The 19,701-nt window shown below is 42.8% G+C and overlaps 1 annotated feature.

Moving 5' to 3' along the window:
• Window positions 18,975-19,155: a silencer, noted in NCBI's record as "fragment chr5:31618177-31618357 (GRCh37/hg19 assembly coordinates)". NCBI's record gives its function as "represses an EF-1alpha promoter that drives an FKBP-Casp9 reporter gene in an ReSE screen in phorbol 12-myristate 13-acetate-treated (for megakaryocytic differentiation) K562 erythroleukemia cells {active_cell/tissue: K562(+PMA)}" and the evidence as "EXISTENCE:reporter gene assay evidence [ECO:0000049][PMID:32094911]".

Here is a 19,701-nt window from a genome sequence, read left to right on the forward strand (position 1 = left end):
GACCAGCTCTAAAGTTTATAAAATTTTCGCTTAAGCCACAGAGATTCACTTCCTCTTTTCAGAGAGAAACTGTTTTCTCCCTAACCAAAATTTGGTACAAGAGAAAAGGTTGGAAAACTCCAAGCAGTAGTTCCAAATAAAACCTTAAGCTCAGAGAAAAGTGAAAATCACAAATCTGCAATTATCAGAATCTCTAGAGAATAACAAACCAAACTCCTACCTTGTTGTAGAACTTCAGTTCCAACCCCATTGAGTTAGGAATGTGTGTAATGCAAATAAAGTCTGCATCCTCAACCAATCCAGGAGAACTCAAACTTGAAAGGGGCCTTACCAGAGATTTGCATAGCCTGTGAAGTCAGGAAAATGAAAATCATTTGTGCTGGTACCAAGGCTCAAGTTGTTGACAAAGCGATGAGGATTGCTGAAGTTCTGCTTCAAGTCCCATCATGGTCGCCAAAATGTCAACCTTAAGTAATGAGATACAGAAAATATAAATTTGTACATAGTCTATTCAAACACAAGCCTTGAGGATGGCCGCACGGGAACCAGTGACTACAAACAAACAAGGTCAGAATTCCAAAGTGGAGAAGTTAAGGTTTCAGGCCAGGCGCGGTGGCTCAAGCCTGTAATCCCAGCACTTTGGGACGCCGAGGCGGGTGGATCATGAGGTCAAGAGATCGAGACCATCCTGTCCAACATGGTGAAAGCCCATCTCTACTAAAAATACAAAAATTAGCCTAGTGTGGTGGCATGCACTAGTAGTCCCAGCTACTTGGGAGGCTGAGGCAGGAGAATCACTTGAACCTGGGAGGTGGAGGTTGCAGTGAGCTAAGATCGCGCCACTGAACTCCATCCAGCCTGGCGACAGAGCAAGACTCTGTCTCAAAAAAAAAAAAAAAAAAAAAGTTAAGGTTTCACTTATATAGGCAGAAACAGAGAAATTTTAGCAGATTACAGCATTTTCCTTACAAGACCGTTCCGTATATGAGAGCAATTTGATTGGTTACAGATTGCTACATCCCAAGGAAGATTACTCTATTGCTCCATGAGGGAGGTAGTGATCTGAGGGGGTCTCATGTCTGAGGCCATTTGGTCTTCTTAATCATTTACAAGAAAACAAGGCAGAAGTTGCAGCTGCATGCTGCGTGACTCAGACTACATAGCCACCCTCCACTTGAAGCTCAGAATAATTCAAATGTCCAACAGCTTTAAGTTTGAATTATTTAATTTCACAGGAGGTACATTTTTTGAAGACTTGTATGTGTAAAAATGTCTCTTTTCTACCCTTTTACTTGATAGCAAATTTGGCTAAATATGTAATTCTTGGTTAAACAAAAAATAACTTTCCCTTGGAAATTTGAAGGTATATCTCCATTATCTTCTACCTTCTATTTCCATGAGAAGTTTGATGCCATTCTTATTCACAATCTTCTATTCATTAGTTTTCTGTCTCCACTCTATTTCTCCACTCCTACCAGAGCTTTTAGAGACTTCTGTTTATCCCTAGGGTTTGAAATTTTGTAATAATAAGTCCTTTGTTGTCACTGGTTTATGTTATTTGATGGGAATTTTTTTTTTTTTTTTTTTTTTGAGACGGCGTCTCACTCTGTCACCAAGGCTGGAGTGCAGTGGCATGAGGATGGCCCATGGCAGCTTCGATCTCTTGGGCTCAGGTGATTCGTCTACCTCAGCCTCCCGGGTAGCTGGGACTACAGGAATGTGCCACCACGCCTAGCTAAGTTTTTGTATTTTTTGTAGAGACAGGGTTTCACTATGTTGCCCAGGCTGGTCTCGAACTCCTGTGCTCAAGCAATCCTCCTGCCTTGGCTTCCCAAAGTGCTGGGATTACAGGCGTGAGCCATCGTGCCTGGCCTTGTGGGATATTTGTTTGTTTGTTCATTTGTCTTTTACTCATTGGGCTAGATACCAAAAAGTTCTTTTTGAGAAAAGGCTCATGTTCTTCAGCTCTGAAAAATTCTCTTACGTTATTTTATTAATACTTTTCTCCACCAGTCTTTTCTGTTCTCTTTCTGGCACTCCTATTAATTAGTTGTCAGGCTTCCTGGATTGAGCATCTAATTTCTTATGTTTTCTCTCTTATTGTCCAATTATTTGCCACTTTGCTCTGGTTTTGGATTCCCTAACTATACCCTCTACTTTACTATTGAGATTTTCATTTCTGCCGTCTAATTTTTATTTTCCTGATGTTTTTGTTGTTGTTATTTGAATACTCTTAAGTTCATTTATATTTGAGAATGGGACACAGAAAAGCTGAGAGCTGGCCGGGCGCGGTGGCTCACGCCTGTAATCCCAGCACTTTGGGAGGCCGAGGCGGGCGGATCACGAGGTTAGGAGATCAAGACCATCCTGGCTAACATGGTGAAGCCCTGTCTCTGCTAAAAATACAGAAGAATTGGCTGGGCTTGGTGGCGGGCGCCTGTGGTCCCGGCTACTCGGGAGGCTGAGGCGGGAGAGTGGCATGAACCCGGGAAGTGGAGCCGAGATCGTGCCACTGCACTCCAGCCTGGGCGACAGAGCAAGACTCTGTCTCAAAAAAAAAAAAAAAAAAAAAAAAAAAAAAAAGCTGAGAGCTGTGTTTGTGAACAAGTGTGTCGAGAGTGATCAGGTGTGGGCAATGACCATTATCTCAGGGAACTCCCAAAGGCCAAAATGTGGAGGTCTTTTCTCTATGACTATTTAATTTCTCTAGAGGAGGAACCTGTAATTTCTTGCCTACCTGGTAGATAACCTTGCTGCTGTCCTTCTGAGAGAGGAAGAGAGAGTTGGGGTAGAGATGGGAAGAATAATAGTCTTGTTTCTTCTTGATCATCCTACAGCAAAGAAGAAAAAGTGACAAGCCACAATAACAAACCTAGACTTCCCAATTATCTGTTCAATACCTCGCTTTAAAAAATATGTACATTTGTACAGATAATCAGGGACACTAGATATCTGTTTTTACATCAGTTCTGTTTTCAGCCCCACTTCTTACTCTTGTCCACCAATGCATGTCCACTCTTTGCTCCCAAAGTTCTTCAGGGTTCTATCACTCAAATAATCTTCCTTTTTGCCCATAATTTCCTCTGGAAACCCTTTAAGATATGCCTACCTCTCACTCTACATCAACAACCACTCCTTTGGTGTTCATCAACTGATAGCCCTTCTACCCTTTATATCATCATTTGGGCTTACATATTTTCCTTTCATTAGCTGTCATTACAGAGGAGTCTCAAAAGAGACAAAAAATAAACAAGTGGATCAACTATTTTTCATCAAAAATATTTAGAAACAATAAGATCTTTTTGTAGAGGGTCATAGCGTGTTTTTTGTTTTTGTTTTTTGAGACAGAGTCTCACTCTGTCTCCCAGGCTGGAGTGCAGTGGCACAATCTTGGCTCACTGCCACCTTTGTCTCCTGGGTTCAAGCAATTCTCCTGCCTCATCCTCCCGAGTAGCTGGGACTACAGTCATGTGCCATCAAACCCGGCTAATTTTTTTTGTATTTTTAGTAGAGACATGGTTTCACCATGTTGGTCAGGCTCATCTCAGACTCCTGACCTCAAATGATCTGCCCGCCTTGGCCTCCCAAAGTGCTGGGATTATAAGCATGAGCCACCGCGCCCATAGTGTCTTAAGTGTCTTAAGCCCATAGTGTCTTAAGATTGCAGTCAAAGAGAAATACTTTAACGAAAGCAATATTCTGTATGAAAGCATATATGCTAAGTTATTCATTCTGGCTTTACTACCTGCTAGTTATATGATTTGGAGCAAATTATTGGATCTCTCAAGAGCCTCAGTTTCCTCCACTTTAAAACGCAATTCATAACACCTCAAGTATTGTCAAGAGTTATGAGCACATATAATATGTTCAGTCAATATAAGTTCCCTTTTTGCTTTGAAATGAACAAGTAAAAGATGACAAGGAGTGATAAAGCTCATCAAGACTGGACTTCTTTGGTAAAAGCAAAGCTCAAAAGAGTAGGTTGATGACCACTTTACTGAGTGACATCTTACTAGGGGGTCCATTGCAAAGAAAAGAGCATTTTCTTTTTGATGGGTTTTACTCAATTGTTTTCTTGTTAAGTGTTGCCTTTTAAAACCACACTGTTCCTTTCTCTTCCTCAAGCCATTTTCTCCCCTCTTTTTTCTGCTTCACTAGTCTTACTTGTTTGAAATAAAGAGAGATGAAGTGTGTCAGCCATGATCCCAGCAGAAAGCAGGCTTCACTTCAACTAGTTCCAAAGACAGGACTTTAGTAAGGGAATTTTTTTCAGAGATATGGATAAAGGAACCAACAAAGGTTATGGAGACACCCAGAGGCTAGCAAGCAAGGGTAGCCATGACCACATGAAGGGCAAAGGAGACAGCGGGGAGGAAATAGAATTCCTGGAGTCTGGTGAGAGCTGGAGATGGGAAGGTGCCATCCAGCAGAATCGATAGTTGTGGAGAGGTGTCACTACTATCAGAGGCCTAACACCAAAACAGAGAGGAAGAGGGGAACAAATAACCCATATGTTTCTCTTCTCCCACCTTCTGATCTCCTGCTAGGGTATCCCATTGGCTACTGGAAGCCAGTTGTCAAGAAAGCCTGGGATGCTGGGCACAGTGGCTCACGCCTGTAATCCCAGTACTTTGGGAGGCTGAGGTGGGCGGATCACCTGAGGTCAGGAGTTAAGACTAGCCTGGACAACATGGTGAAACCCTGTCTCTATTAAAAATACAAAAATTAGCCAGGCGTGGTGGTGGGCACCTGTAATCCCAGCTACTCGGGAGGCTGAGGCAAGAGAATCACTTGAATCTGGCAGGCGGAGGTTGCAGTGAGCTGAGATCATACCACTGCACTCCAGCCAGGGTGACAGGAGCGAGACTCTGTCTCAAAAAAAAAAAAAAAGAAAGAAAGAAAGAAAAGAAAGCCTGGGAGATATCCTCTCAGGGCCCTGAGCAGAGCTGAGAGAGCCTCTGCAGGGGACAAAAGGAGAATATCGGTATATGAAGATTCTAAAAATATCTGTTGCATTACTTGGGGGGGAATCAAGAAGTGTGAAAAGCCTAAACATTCTCAGTAATATAAAGTGGTTGAAATAGAAAACGTTAAGCCATCTTATGAAGAAAAAAATTATTCACTTTACCTTTGATGCCTGTCATATGTAGAAATAGATTAGAACAGAAATGCAGGAATTTCCATTTAGCAAATAATATTGTTTCATATTGCATGTTTCATGCCTTAAGGTGACTCCTAATTTATCACCTCAGTGAGGGAACCAACTGCCACTCAGGGAAAAAAACTCAAGAGCAAAGGAGTCAGCTCTGCCTTAGTGGAACAGACCAGGTTAAGGTGTCAAGCAACTGTTTCTATGAGCGCAATTTCAGGAAATGTCTCAGCCCTGTCGTGGATGTCTCTAAGGGTTTGTTTAAAAATTCAAATGCCATTGATTTATCTATTGTATGCTGAGAAATCCACTGTGCCTTCAGTCACAAATTCTAGATGATGCTTAGTTTAACTTGCTCCTGGAAGTGAGACAATTTATTCCTTGTATTTTACTTAAAGCCTAATGGTATGCCAGGCTGCTTTCCCCTTTATTGACACAAAAGATCTATTATAATATTTTATCTAAAAAGTATGCCCCGCTTTAAAAAGCTGTGGCTAACATTTTGGTGCACTGTATCCAGTAAAACTATCTGTCAAACAGTGTGTCCTCTTTCAAGCTAGTGGTGTTTTGTTTTTGTTTTTTAACCAGGAATCAATAGATGGGACACAGAGGCTGGGAAACTCCAAAAATTGATTGCAAAATGTTTGGCATGCATGCAGTTTTTCTGGGAAAAAAGCTATTGTTCCCATAAATACTCAAACACTATGCCTTCCTCTGCTTCTAAATCAATGAGCACTCCTCTATCAAGTTTTCCTCAGCCGATGACCTGTGTACCTTTTATTTCATTATTTTGGCTTATATACTTTTCATTCATTAGCTGTCATTACAGAGGAATCTCAAGAGAGAGGAAAGATACACAAATGTGATCAGCTCTTTTTAATGTTAAGAACCATGGCTGAATATAAATATATTGAAGGAAAACATGGGTGAAGGATGAGAAACTAGAAAAAGCTTTTTTTTTTTTTTCCGCAAAATGGGAATAAAATATGTAACAAAGATACCCTTCCTGACAGTCTTATTGGCTGGCCTTACAGTACTTTATGTAAGAGAGTTTGGAGTATAAGAAAATAGCCAGGTGTGGTGGCTCACGCCTGTAATCCCAGGACTTTGGGAGGCTGAGGTGGGCAGATCACTTGAGGTCAAGAGTTCAAGACCAGTCTGGCCAACATGGAGAAACTCCGTCTCTACTAAAAATACAAAATTAACCGGGCGTGGTGGTGCATGCCTGTAATCCCAGCTACTTGGGAGGGCGAGGCAGGAGAATCACTTGAACCTGGGAGGTGGAGGTTGCAGTGAGCAGAAATCATGCCACTGCACTCCTTGGCAGCAAGAGCAAAATTCCATCTCTAAATAAATAAAATAAAAAGTGAGACAACATTTTTGCTGAAAATAATGATTTGTCCCTGAACAGGAGTAGTCTCATGATTCTGGATTATAACCCATTCTCCTTTTGAGACTTCCATCATATTTATTCAGGGGTTTTACATGATGGTTGGGTGATATTCCTCACCCTGACGAGATAACTCTAGGCAGTCCCATTGATGAAACAGTTCGTATACCTAGGAATAGTGCATTGATATAAAGCAATTGCTTTCTGCTTTGGCAGGTATTATATAGACATGGAATAAGAAAGGGATCTCAAACTCAAATGCCTATTGGGAAGCGGGGCCCTTATGAGGTAGGCAAGTAGTATTGAATTAAAGAATTTATGCTGCATCTGAAGGGGGCAGCCTTTACTCAACACCATTTTTTTTTTGGGATAAAAAATTACAATGTGCAGAAGTTGGCATCTAATTCAAAACATTTTACAACACTGTGTGGGATGAACATATGTTTTGAGGGTGTGTTTGGCCCAAGGGCTGCTGGTTTGGGTCTCTGGTGTAAAGTAGTTGTTCCCAAGCCTGGCTGCAGATCAGAATCATCTGTGGAGCTTAAAAAACACAGATGCCCAGTCCCCTCCCCAGACTTGCTGAATAGAATCTCTGGGGGTGAGGCTGAGGCACAGCCAAGATTAAGACTCACAAAAGCAAAGAACCGGTGGATGAAACAGCATTTACCATCATTAAAACTATAAAACTTAAAAATGATCTCAGTAAGGCCAGGCACGGTGGCTCACGCCTGTAATCCCAGCACTTTGGGAGGCTGAGGCAGGCGGATCACCTGAGGTCGGGAGTTTGAGACCAGCCTGACCAACATGGAGAAACCCCGTCTCTACTAAAAATACAAAATTAACCGGGCATGGTGGTGCATGCCTGTAATCCCAGCTACTTGGGAGGGTGAGGCAGGAGAATTGCTTGAACCCAGGAGGCAGAGGTTGTGGTGAGCCAAGATCATGCCATTGCACTCTAGCCTGGGCAACAAGAGCGAAACTCTGTCTCAAAAAAAAAAAAAAAGATCTCAGTAAGGGAAGTCGGAAGACAAGTGAACAAACTGTCCCATGGAAGAGAAAAAATGGTGAAGGACTATAGGAATGCCTTTAAACATTTTCCTGTTTCAAATTTTGTTTTTCTCATCCTATTTTTATAGAGCTATGCTTTCCAATATTGGAAGGCACTAGCCACATTTGGCTACTTAAATTTAAATACAATTTAAAGTTCAGTCCTTAGTTGCACTAGCCACATTTCAAGTGCTAAGTAGCCACATGTGGCTCGTGGCTCCTGTACTGGACACAGGTATAGAGATTATATATGAATATCAAGAGAACTTTATAGACCTTTTAAGCCATTCTTGTGGGACTCTGATATTTCAAGGTCTGCTAATTTTTTTTTTGTTTTTTTGCTTTTGTTTTTTGTGGTTTTTTTTTTTTTTGTCTGAGACAGGGTCTTGTTCTGTTGTCCAAGCCGCAGTGCAGTGGTGCCATCTCAGCTCACTGCAACCTCTGCCTTCTGGGTTCAAGCGATTATTGTGCCTCAGCCACTCTAGTGTCTGGTAGCTGGGATTACAGGTGTGCACCACTACACCTGGCTAATTTTTGTATTTTTTTTCAGTAGAGATAGGGTTTCACTGTGTTGGCCAGGTTGGTCTCAAACTTCTGGCCTCAAGCAATCTACCTGTCTCAGCCTCCAAAAGTGCTGGGATTACAGGCGTGAACAACTGCACTTGGCCAAGAACTGGTAATTATTAATACAGAATACAACATTTCTAAAGTTCACAAGGATTTTTCCCCTTAGAAGCAGTAATGCTGGCTGGGCAGGCACAGTGGCTCACATCTATAATCCCAGAACTTCCGGAGGCTGAGGCAGGAGGATTGCTTGGGCCCAGGAGTTCTGGGCTGCGGTGAGCTATGATTGCGCCACTGCACTCCAGCGTCAGCAACACAGGGAGACCCTGTGTTTAAAAAAAAAAAAAAAGAAGAAGAATGCCTCATTTAATGCAAATTAATTAGTAAACGTGGAGATATTTTTAAAGTAAAAAAAGGATTTGTGCAATCACTGGATAAATATTTACCCAGTGCTTTCTAAATGCCAATCACTCTGCTTTTTGTATTTTGATTCATGGAATCAAGGTTAAAAATTGGCTTGGGCAGCTTCCAAGGGATATTCCCAGGTATGCATATTACCCTAGTTTTTGGTCTACATTTCCCCTTTAATTACATGGAATTTCCCTTAATACAATAGCTATAATTAGGTTAAAACATGTTGTTTGGTGTATGTAAAGTAACCTAATGGTTAAAAGGAAGGTGAGAAAAGCAGCAATGGCTAACAGCAAAGAAGTGTTCTCTTCGTCAAAAAGTGCACCTTTCCTAGTGATGAGTTTTGATCTGACCATGGCTAGATGTAGATGTGACTCTCCTCTACCCAGCAGTGACCTTCTAACACCATCTAACTAGAGTAGCATTCCACACAGCCATTAGTCACAGCCAATGCATATATCTGACTCCTATTCAAACTATATTCTGGAGGATAACAATCTATAAAGATAGACAAGACAGGTAGAGCCCTAAAGTTAAGGGCTTCAGGCCTTGGGGTTAAGTGTACACTTTTAAATTTGTACAAAAATCTGGATTCTTGGGAAGCAGAGCATCTTAAATTTAAAAGAAGACTTTAAAGTACAAAAAGAAATCATAAAATGATATAGGAGAAAACACCATTGGATAATAAGAACCGCTTAATATAATACATCTTTATGGAGATCCTGATTAAGGTAAGACCAAGATGAGTGAGAAATAGCTGCAGGGCACAGGATAGGAGTAAGGGTGATGCTGCACGGTGGCTCACACCTGTAATCGCAGCACTTTGGGAGGCCAAGGCAGGCGGATCACATGAGGCCAGGAGTTCGAGAGCAGCCTAGGCAACATGGCAAAACCTCGTCTCTACTAAAAATACAAAAATTAGCCAGGCGTGGTGGTGGGCGCCTGTAATCCCAGCTACTCAGGAGGCTGAGGCAGGAGAATCGCTTGAACCTGGGAGGTGGAGATTGCAGTGAGCTGAGATCGCACCACTGTACTCCAGCCTGGGGGACAGAGAGAGACTCTGTCTCAAAGAAAAAAAAAAAAGAAAATGGAATGGCTTGGTGCCTGGGAGTCTTCTCTAGTCATGAACTGTTAATAAATTCCTCAGGGACATATGGACTAAATTTTAAAATGGCCTAACAAGTTAATGTATTTTTTGTCGGTGGTATAAATTTCATTGAATATTTTATAGTCTCTATGTGGCTCTTAGGATCATGATAAAGGCTGAGGCTGCTTCTGGGATGCAGTTAATACTGGAGTCCTTATGTCTGACATGGTTATGTGTCTCTGATAGTGTCAAGGTGTCATTACTAAGGAACTTAATTCTGGAGTTTTGCTGCTAGTCTCCTTTTATATTAGAAACTTTGGTTCTCTAATCTTATTTGAAGTATGAGCTACTTTTTTTTTTTTTTTTGCGACAGAGTCTTGCTCTATTGCCCAGGCTAGAGTGCAGTGGCGCGATTTCAGCTCACTGCAACTTCCGCCTCTCAGGTTCAAGTGATTCTCCTGTCTCAGCCTCCCGAGTAGCTGGAATTACAGGCGTGTGCCACCACGCCCCGCTAAGTTTTTGTACTTTAGTAGAGACAGGGTTTCACCGTGTTGCCCAGACTGGTCTCAAACTCCTGACCTCAGGCAATCCACCCGCCTTGGTCTCCCAAAGTGCTAGGATTATAGGCGTGAGCCACTGTGCCTGGCTTTTTTTTTTTTTTTTTTTTTTTTGGTAATGTCAGCCAGATCTATGGGTTCACCATCATCAATGAATGACTTGCACAAAATAAGTACCATCGTCACTTGCATCTCTCTCATAAACACATGTGCTTACATCTATCTGCATTTATAATTTATATGACACACCAGGTTCGGTGTTAGGTGATGGGGGAAAATATCCACAAAGTACAGACCCTCTCTTGAGGATTTCATATTCTTAAAGGGGAATCCTATGTGTGAACAGATAATTACAATATGAGGAGGTACAACATTGAGGGGATGACATAAATACACATAGGTGGAGATTGTGGAAAATAAGTCCTCTTTGACTTGATGTTGAGTTTGCAACAGAGATAAAGAGCAACAAGAATAGGGGGTATTTTGGTGTATGTTCAGTCTAAGGCTGCACAATCCTGGTTTAAATCTTGGTCATCATCCTGGATTGAAATGGCCCTTAAACCTCCTGCACATAGACTGAAACCAGCTGAAGGAAGAACCTGAAATAAGGCCAGGAGAGAACTAAGTAGTGAATGGGAACTAAAGTCTTAAAACCCAGAAATGTCAGAGATATAAAACACCAAATAGGTGAGCCTATCATTTTGGCTAGACAAGAGAGGGTGATACTGGCAATGTGGAGTGGCACATGGCAAAGGAGGACTGTCAGGAGCAGTTCCGTGGACTTGTCTTTTGAAATAGCAAGTGGGGAGCTGACTGGTTTATTGTGAGGAGCAGTGACATGGAATGGCACAAAATGCAGCTAGATCCATTGAGCAAGTTTACACAAATATAATTCAAGAAACAGAAGCAAAACCCTGGGTTTTGGCTAAATTGCTAAGTGACATTATTCATGTTAGGTAAACTTGGCCATGGGTGAATAGTCATGTTTGTATCCATAGTATGAAAACCAGTGCTATTGGCTGGGCACGGTAGCTCACGCCTGTAATCCCAACACTTTGGGAGGCCAAGGTGGGTGGATCACAAGGTCAGGAGTTCATGACCAGGCTGGCCAAGATGGTGAAACCCCATCTCTACTAAAAATACAAAAAAATTAGCAGGGCGTGGTGGCCGGCGCCTGTAATCCCAGCTACTCGGGGGGCTGAGGCAGAGAATTGCTTGAACCCGGGAGGCGGAGGTTGCAGTGAGCTGAGATCACACCACTGCACTCCAGCCTGGGTGACAAGTCGAGACTCCCTCTCAGAAACAAACAAATAAACAATAAGCCAAACATAAAACCAGTGCTATCAGCTGTAATTATAAAATATGGGTGAGGTAAGAAGCTTAAATAATTTTTTTTTTTTTTTTTTTGAGATGGAATCTTTCCCTTTCGCCCAGGCTGGAGTGAAGTAGTGCGACCTCGGCTCACTGTAACCTCTGCTTCCAGGGTTCAAGCAATTCTTCTGCCTCGGACTCCCGAGGAGCTGGGATTACAGGCACCCACCACCACCCCTGGCTAATTTTTTAATTTTTAATAGAGACAGGGTTTTGCCATGTTAGCGAGGCTGGTCTCCAATTCCTGACCTCAGGTGATCCGCCTACCTTAGACTCCCAAAGAGCTGGGATTACAGGTGTGAGCCACTGCACCCGGCCTTAAACAAATCTTTACTAACTGAGAATATCCTAAGTCCTTTACTTTTTCTCAGCTGGACAGCAAGAACTCTTGCTAGGAACTGTTTGTTCCCTGAGTGGTCTTGTCCCTGCCACAGTTCATCTAGTGTTATCACGTTGTCTAGGATTGAGAGTTCTCAAAGGTAGAACTTGTCTTTCACATGTAGCACTAAGCTTTAAATATCCCCAGACAAGGCATGTGAATCCTGTTATCTGTTTTTCTGCCCAGTATTCAACCAGCATGCCCTGGTACCACATTTAGGCTAGGTGTGTTTTGATGGCTGGGTGTACTCGCTGTACCAATTGTTGAATATTTTGAATATAGTAAGTCCTCATATAATGTAGTTGCTAGGTTCTTAGAAACTGCAACTTTAAGTGAAATGATGAATAATGAAACTAATTTTACCCTAGGCTAATTGATATAAACAAGAATTAAGTTGCTACGACATATTTCTGGTAACAAAAACATTACCAAATTTCTTTTTTTAAGACGGCGTCTCATTCTGTTGCCCAGGCTGGAGTGCAGTGGCATGATCACGGCTCACTGCAGCCTCAACCTTCTGGGCTCAGGTGATTCTCCCATTTCAGCCTCCAGAGTAGATAGGACTACAGGCTCACACAGCCACATCTGGCTAATTTTTTAGTTTTTTGTAGAGATAAGGTCTCACTGTGCTGCCCAGGTTGGTCTCAAACTCCTGCCCTCAAGCGATCCTCTCTCCTCTGCCTCCCAAAGTATTGGGATTACAAGAGTAAGCCACTGCCCAGGTTGGTCTCAAACTCCTGCCCTCAAGCGATCCTCTCTCCTCTGCCTCCCAAAGTATTGGGATTACAAGAGTAAGCCACTGCACCAGGCCCAAACGTCTAAAAAAAGACCAAAACACTTCTAATTTTAAATACTGAAATAAATGTGAGCTATACAAACATTTAAGAAAGATGATAAAAACAAGTAAGATCATCGCTTATTCCAGTTTGGGGTCACAGGTGGCTAGAGCATCTCCCGGCAGCTCAGGGTCCAAGAGGAGCACCAGCCTGGATAGGACGCCATCCCATCACAGGGCTCACTCACACCTACATCCTGACTGGGACCATCTAGACATGCCAGTTCACTCACTTTCACAACTGTCAGATGTGGGGGAAACCGGAGTACCCGGAGAAAAGTCACACAGACATGGGGAGAACGTGCAAACTCCAGACAGACAGTGGCCTCAACCAGGAATCCATTTTTCTTCTTATGGACATTATAATGAAACAACGTTGAATGAAATAACATTATTTGAAGACCTGCTGTATTCACCTCACTGTATTAAGAATAGGTAGGGATGTATATGATATGGAAGAATAAAATAAGGCAACTACTGTTTTGTTTTGCGTTTTTTTTTTTTTTTTTTTTTGAGACAGAGTCTCACTGTGTCACCCAGGCTGGAGTGCAGTAGCACGATCTCAGCTCTCTGCAACCTCTGCTTCCTGGATTCATGCAATTCTCCTGCCTCAGCCTCCCAAGTAGCTGGAATTATAGCCGTGCACTACCATTCCTGGGTAATTTTTTGTATTTTTTGTACAGATGGGGTTTCACCGTGTTGGCCAGACTGGTCTCAAACTCCTTACCCCAAATGATCTGCCTGTCTTGGCCTCCCAAAGTGCTGGGATTACAGGCGTGAGCCACCATGCCCGGCCAGCAACTGCTTTTAACAGATACACTTAAATTTGTACTTTCAACTTGACAAACTTTAAAATAATTTTCTTGGATGAGTCCTTTTCAGAATATTTTAAAAACAACTTTAAATTTTTTTCCTTCAGATATTTCTGGAAGGAAAAGATTCATTTGGATAAGTTGTGGCCTGATGGTTAAGAAGAAATGATTTATAGTATTTAAAGTTGTAAGGCCGGGCACTGTGGCTCATGCCTATAATCCCAGCACTTTGGGAGGCCGAGGCGGGTGGATCACCTGAGGTTGGGAGTTTGAGACCAGGCTGACCAACATGGAGAAACCCCGTCTCTACTAAAAAATACAAAATTAGCCGGGCATGGTGGTGCACACCTGTAATCCCAGCTACTCAGGAGGCTGAGACAGGAGAATCGCTTGAACCCAGCGGGTGGAAGTTGCGGTGAGCCGAGATTGCGCCATCGCACTCCAGTCTGGACGACAAGAGTGAAACTCTGTCTCAAAAAAAAAAAGAAATAAAGTTGTACTTGTTTTAAATCTCATGTTGTTAGATCATGGTCGGATCATGTTGTTAGGAACTGCAAACACCTTTCTTTTGAGCTGCACCCTATGCCCCAGAGATGGAAAATAGATCACACACTGTGACAGTGTTAAGTCACCCCTAAATATAAGCACTAAAACAAAACAACACTGAAAGAGCTAAAAATGTGTAATTTTTCATCTTTGTGCTGAGGCAGACATATTTGTGGCTGAGAGAAAATGTAAGAAGATACCCTTATTCAGTCTGTAAGTTCAGCTCTCTGCTAACTCAGGTGAAAATCTACCATGAGGATCTGTACTCCTCATGCTTGCTATCTGAGGAAGTAAGCATGAATTCCCATTACGAGAGGGGCAAGAAGAGAGATAATTTGGCACGGGTGTGGTGGCTCCAAATTCCCAGCAATTTTTGAGGCTGAAGTGGGAGGAATACTTAAGCTTAGGCATTTGGGACCACCCTGGGCAATATAGTGAGACTTCATCTCTACAAGAAATTAAAAAATTAGCTGAGTGTGGTGGCCCCCCAAAGTGCTGGGATTACAGGTGTGAGCCACCGTGCCTGGCCCTTTACCCTCTTTTTATAGATAAGGAACCTATGACTCATGGAGGCTGAGGGATTTTACTCATGGCCACACATTCAATGTGCAGCTGAGGACAGATCCAGGACCCCAGCTCTCCATAGTTCTACAATGTTCCATGGAAGTGAGCAATAAGGAAGTCCAACCCCAAGGTCCATTAGGTAACATGGCTGGTTCTGTACTGGATCTGTGGCTACTGCCATGGCAGCCAACTGAGCTACCCTTTGGTATGGAAGAGTTTCATGCTTGCATCTCAGGCTATTCTCTGCCCTCTTGCAGAGTCAGGACTTACACTGTCTTAGTATATGCCCCCTAGTTTCTAGCACAGTGCCTGGCACATACAAGGCACCTGACAGGTGTTTGAGTAAAGACCTTGAAATGTTGCCAGGGCATAAAAGAGAGAGCTGGCCTTGCTACTGAGCTCACACAATCCAGGCCTCAGCTGTTGGCACTCTATGGGTTGACCCACATTTTGCCAGCTCAAGACGTCTCCTTCCTTGGACATTGGGGCAGGAGGCAGAGTTGCTTTCCTTTTTAACCAGAGGAGAGTAATTGTGACTGGTCTCATCACTGCCCAAGTACTGGCAGCCACGCAGGAAATGAAGGAAGTCCACTGAGTAAGTTTCCATTCATTTGGAAATTTGGCTTTGTTTACTCAGTCCCAAGGGCCTTACTGTAAATGTAAGATGAGAGAGCAAGGTCTCCAGAAGTTCCTCCATTTACAGTGGGCTGCTTGTGTGTGCGTTTATGGATGGGCCTGGGAGTCAGACATCCCCCTCTGTCTTTTGGGAGAGCCCACCCTGGAGGCTGTGGGAGTGTCTGCAACACCAGCTCTGCCAAATGAATTCAGCGAGGGATACCGCATTTACGGAAAGAGCTCGCAGAAGCAGGGAGAATTCCCCATTCTATGTCACATCAAACTTCACTTTTTAATTTGCTGCTCTACATTGCTACCTAGTCCTAGACCACTAACTGCCAAGCTGTCGCAATAAAATATGCCTGTACCATTAACCCAGTTTTGCCCTGTATAAGCCGGAAGTTACTCTGGGAGAAAAGTTGAAACATGGGCCAAATTCCAAGTTGCTAAGAGTGCTTAGGCAGTCTCTAGCTTCAAGATGGTATCTCTGACACACACACCTCTTACGTGACATCAATAATTCTTTTTAAAAACTGTTTTAAGTCTGCTGTGGTAGTGTGTGCCTGTAGGCAATCAAAGCTCACTGCACCCTCGAACTTTTGGGCTCAAGCGCTCCTGCCTCAGCCTCCCAAGTAGCTGGGACTAGGTGTGCACCACCACACCCAGCATTTTTTTTTTTTTTTTTTTTTTTGAGACAGGGTCTCTCCATGTTGCTCAGGCTGGTCTCAAACTCCTGGCCTCAAGCAATCCTTTCCAAAGTGGTCTCCCAAAGTGCTGGGATTATAGGCGTGAGCCATTGCAACCACACAGTTTTTTTTTTTAAGGGCTAAATGTTTATTTTATTTTTTTTTTTTTATTTTTTTTTATTATACTTTAAGTTCTGGGGTACATGTGCACAACGTGCAGGTTTGTTACATAGGTATACATGTGCCATGTTGGTATGCTATACCCATCAACTCATCATTTACATTAGGTATTTCTCCTAATTCCATTCCTCTGCTAGCCCCCCACCCCCCAACAGGCCTCGGTGTGTGATGTTCCTGGCCCTGCGTCCATGTGTTCTCATTGTTCAACTCCCACTTATGAGTGAGAACATGTGGTGTTAGGCTTTTTCTTCTTGTGTTACTTTGCTGAGAATGATGGTTTCCAGTTTCATCCATGTCCCTGCAAAGGACAGGAACTCATCCTTTTTATGGCTGCATAGTATTCCACGGTGTATATGTGCCACATTTTCTTTATCCAGTCTATCATTGATGGGCATTTGGGTTGGTTCCAAGACTTTGCTATTTTGAACAGTGCTGCAGTAAACATATGTGTGTATGCATGTGTCTTTATAGTAGAATGATTTCTAATCCTTTGGGTATATACCCAGTAATGGGATTGCTGGGTCAAATCTTACTTCTAGTTCTAGATCCTTGAAGAATCACTGTCTTCCACAATGGTTGAACTAGTTTACACTCCCAACAGTGTAAAAGTGTTCCTATTTCTCCACATCCTCTCCAGCATCTGTTGTTTCCTGACTTTTTAATGATCACCATTCTAACTGGTGTGAGATGGTATCTCATTGTGGTTTTGATTTGCATTTCTCTGATGGCCAGTGATGATGAGCATTTTTTCATGTGTCTGTTGGCTGCATAAATGTCTTCTTTTGAGAAGTATCTGTTCATATCCTTCACCCATTTTTTGTTGGGGTTGTTTGTTTTGTTTTTTCTTGTAAATTTGTTTAAGTTCTTTGTAGATTCTGGATATTAGCCCTTTGTCAGATGGATAGATTGCAAAAATTTTCTCCCATTCTGTAGGTTGCCTGTTAACTCTAATGATGGTTTCTTTCACTGTGCAGAAGCTCTTTAGTTTAATTAGATCCCATTTGTCTATTTTGGCTTTTGTTGCCATTGCTTTTGGTGTTTTAGTCATGAAGTCTTTGCCCATCCCTATGTCCTGAATGGTATTGCCTAGGTTTTCTTCTAAGGTTTTTATAGTTTTAGGTCTAACATATAAGTCTTTAATCCATCTTGAGTTAATTTTTGTATAAGGTGTAAGGAAGGGATCCAGTTTCAGCTTTCTGCATATGGCTAGTCAGTTTTCCCAACACCATTTATTAAATAGGGGATCCTTTCCCCATTGCTCGTTTTTGTCAGGTTTGTTGAAAGATCAGATGGTTGTAGATGTGTAGTGTTATTTCTGAGGCCTCTGTTCTGTTCCATTGGTCTATATATCTGTTTTGGTACCAGTACCATGCTGTTTTGGTTACTGTAGCCTTGTAGTATAGTTTGAAGTAAGGTAGCGTGATGCCTCCAGCTTTGTTCTTTTTGCTTAGGATTATCTTGGCTATGCAGGTTCTTTTTTGGTTCCATATGAAGTTTAAAGTAGTTTTTTCCAATTCTGTGAAGAAATTCAGTGGTAGCTTGATGGGGTTAGCATTGAATCTATAAATTACTTTGGTATTTTATAGTATGGTCATTTTCACAATATTGATTCCTCCTATCCATGAGCATGGAATGTTCTTCCATTTGTTTGTGTCCTCTTTTATTTCCTCAAGCAGTGGTTTGTAGTTCTCCTTGAAGAGGTCCTTCACATCCCTTGTAAGTTGGATTCCTAGGTATTTTATTCTCCTTGTAGCAGTTGTGAATGGGAGTTCACTCATGATTTGGCTCTCTGTTTGTCTGTTAATGGTGTATAGGAATGCTTGTGATTTTTGCACATAGATTTTGTATCCTGAGACTTTGCTGAAGTTGCCTATCAGCTTAAGGAGATTTTGGACTGAGACGATGGGGTTTTCTAAATGTACAATCATGTCATCTGCAAATAGAGACAATTTGACTTCCTAATTTTTTAATAATAAAAAATTATTTTTGTTGTTGCAGCATTACCATTTGTATCTTCAAACTACAACAGTTCTTAGCAACTACTAGCAGCTCACAATGATTGGCTTGAGCATTCTAGCACGAGTCATTGTTTTTCCTCTTCTTTTCCTCTCAAATCCCCACTGGAACTCTTCAGTGGATTCTATGGGCATGGAAAGCCTTTTGAAGGACTGCTAGAAAATAGATAAGTGGAAGGAGAAATTATGCTTAAAAAAAATCTCAGGCTGGGCGTGGTGGCTCACGCCTGTAATCCCAGCACTTTGGGAGGCCGAGGCGGGCAGATCACCTGAGGTCAGGAGTTTGAGACCATCCTGGCGAACATGGTGAAACCCCGTCTCTACTAAAAATACAAAAAATTAGCCGAGCGTGGTGGCGGGTGCCTGTAGTCCCAGCTACTCAGGAGGCTGAGGCAGGAGAATGGCGTGAACCCGGGAGGCGGAGCTTGCAGTGAGTGGAGATGGTGCCACTGCACTCCAGCCTGGGCAACAGAGCGAGACTCTGTCTCAAAAAAAAAAAAAAAAAAAAATCTCACTGTGCTTATCTTAATTTCTGGATCAGTAGATTTCCTTCAGGGAGCTTTGATTTTTAATTAATAGCAAAAGCATGAGCCTTGGTCAAGACCCCAGGTGCACATATAAACCACTGTGGGAAGATCCTGTGAAAATCACTGTCATTTGAACATTGTAAGGCACCTAGCCACAAAAACACAACAACAAACCCCAGTGCGTTGTGAAAGCCAGGAAGCCCTGCCTTGTGATGTGGGCAGAGTGAGATGTGGCGTTAGCGTGTGCCCCTGGGTCGCGCAGCCCCTACAACATTAGTGAAACTGGCTGGCTGTCTACATCTGTAATTGCACTAAAAGGCCATTAGCCTAGGCTGCTTCCAGTATTCCTCTCTCTAGGCAGCTATACCAGAGAGTAGGAGCAAGGAAAACTCAAGGTTATTTCTTGAAAACAAAACAAAACAATGAAAAACTGGGATTATTGTGACAGGCTGGGCTTTACCTATTGGTCTGGGTCGGTAGTTGTGGGGAAGATACTCATAGGATAACAAGCTGTTCCCAGGCATGGGGCTGGCAAAGAGGCTGGACTCATCTTTGAATATCTCACAGGGAAAATACACAGGGGTCCTCTCATCCCAGCAAGGAGTGTGAGATGCCCTCGTTTCCAGCCATGGGAAACCAGAGTGACAGGCAGGGCACCTTGTGTTGTCAACTCCTGATGCCTCCTCCAGTCGGGAGCCACAGGGAGCTGGCGCAGGGCTTAGGCTGTTCACAGCAGCACCTTGTTCTGAGTTCGGAAGAGCTGTGGAGCTCTTTGTTTTTTGGGTGCCTCTGAGGAGTTGCCCACACCTAGCAGAATTCCTCAGAGGCTCGGGAGAGAAAAAGGAACTCTGTTCTGTGCCCAGGGTCTGTGGCTTTGGTTTACTGAACCACCTGACCTAGCTCACACTTGATCTTCCTCCCAACTTCAATCCCCTGTTCCCCTGGGCGATCCAGCTACAGCATTTG

Source organism: Homo sapiens, chromosome 5 (genome assembly GCF_000001405.40).
Source record: "Homo sapiens chromosome 5, GRCh38.p14 Primary Assembly".
Taxonomy (NCBI): domain Eukaryota; kingdom Metazoa; phylum Chordata; class Mammalia; order Primates; family Hominidae; genus Homo; species Homo sapiens.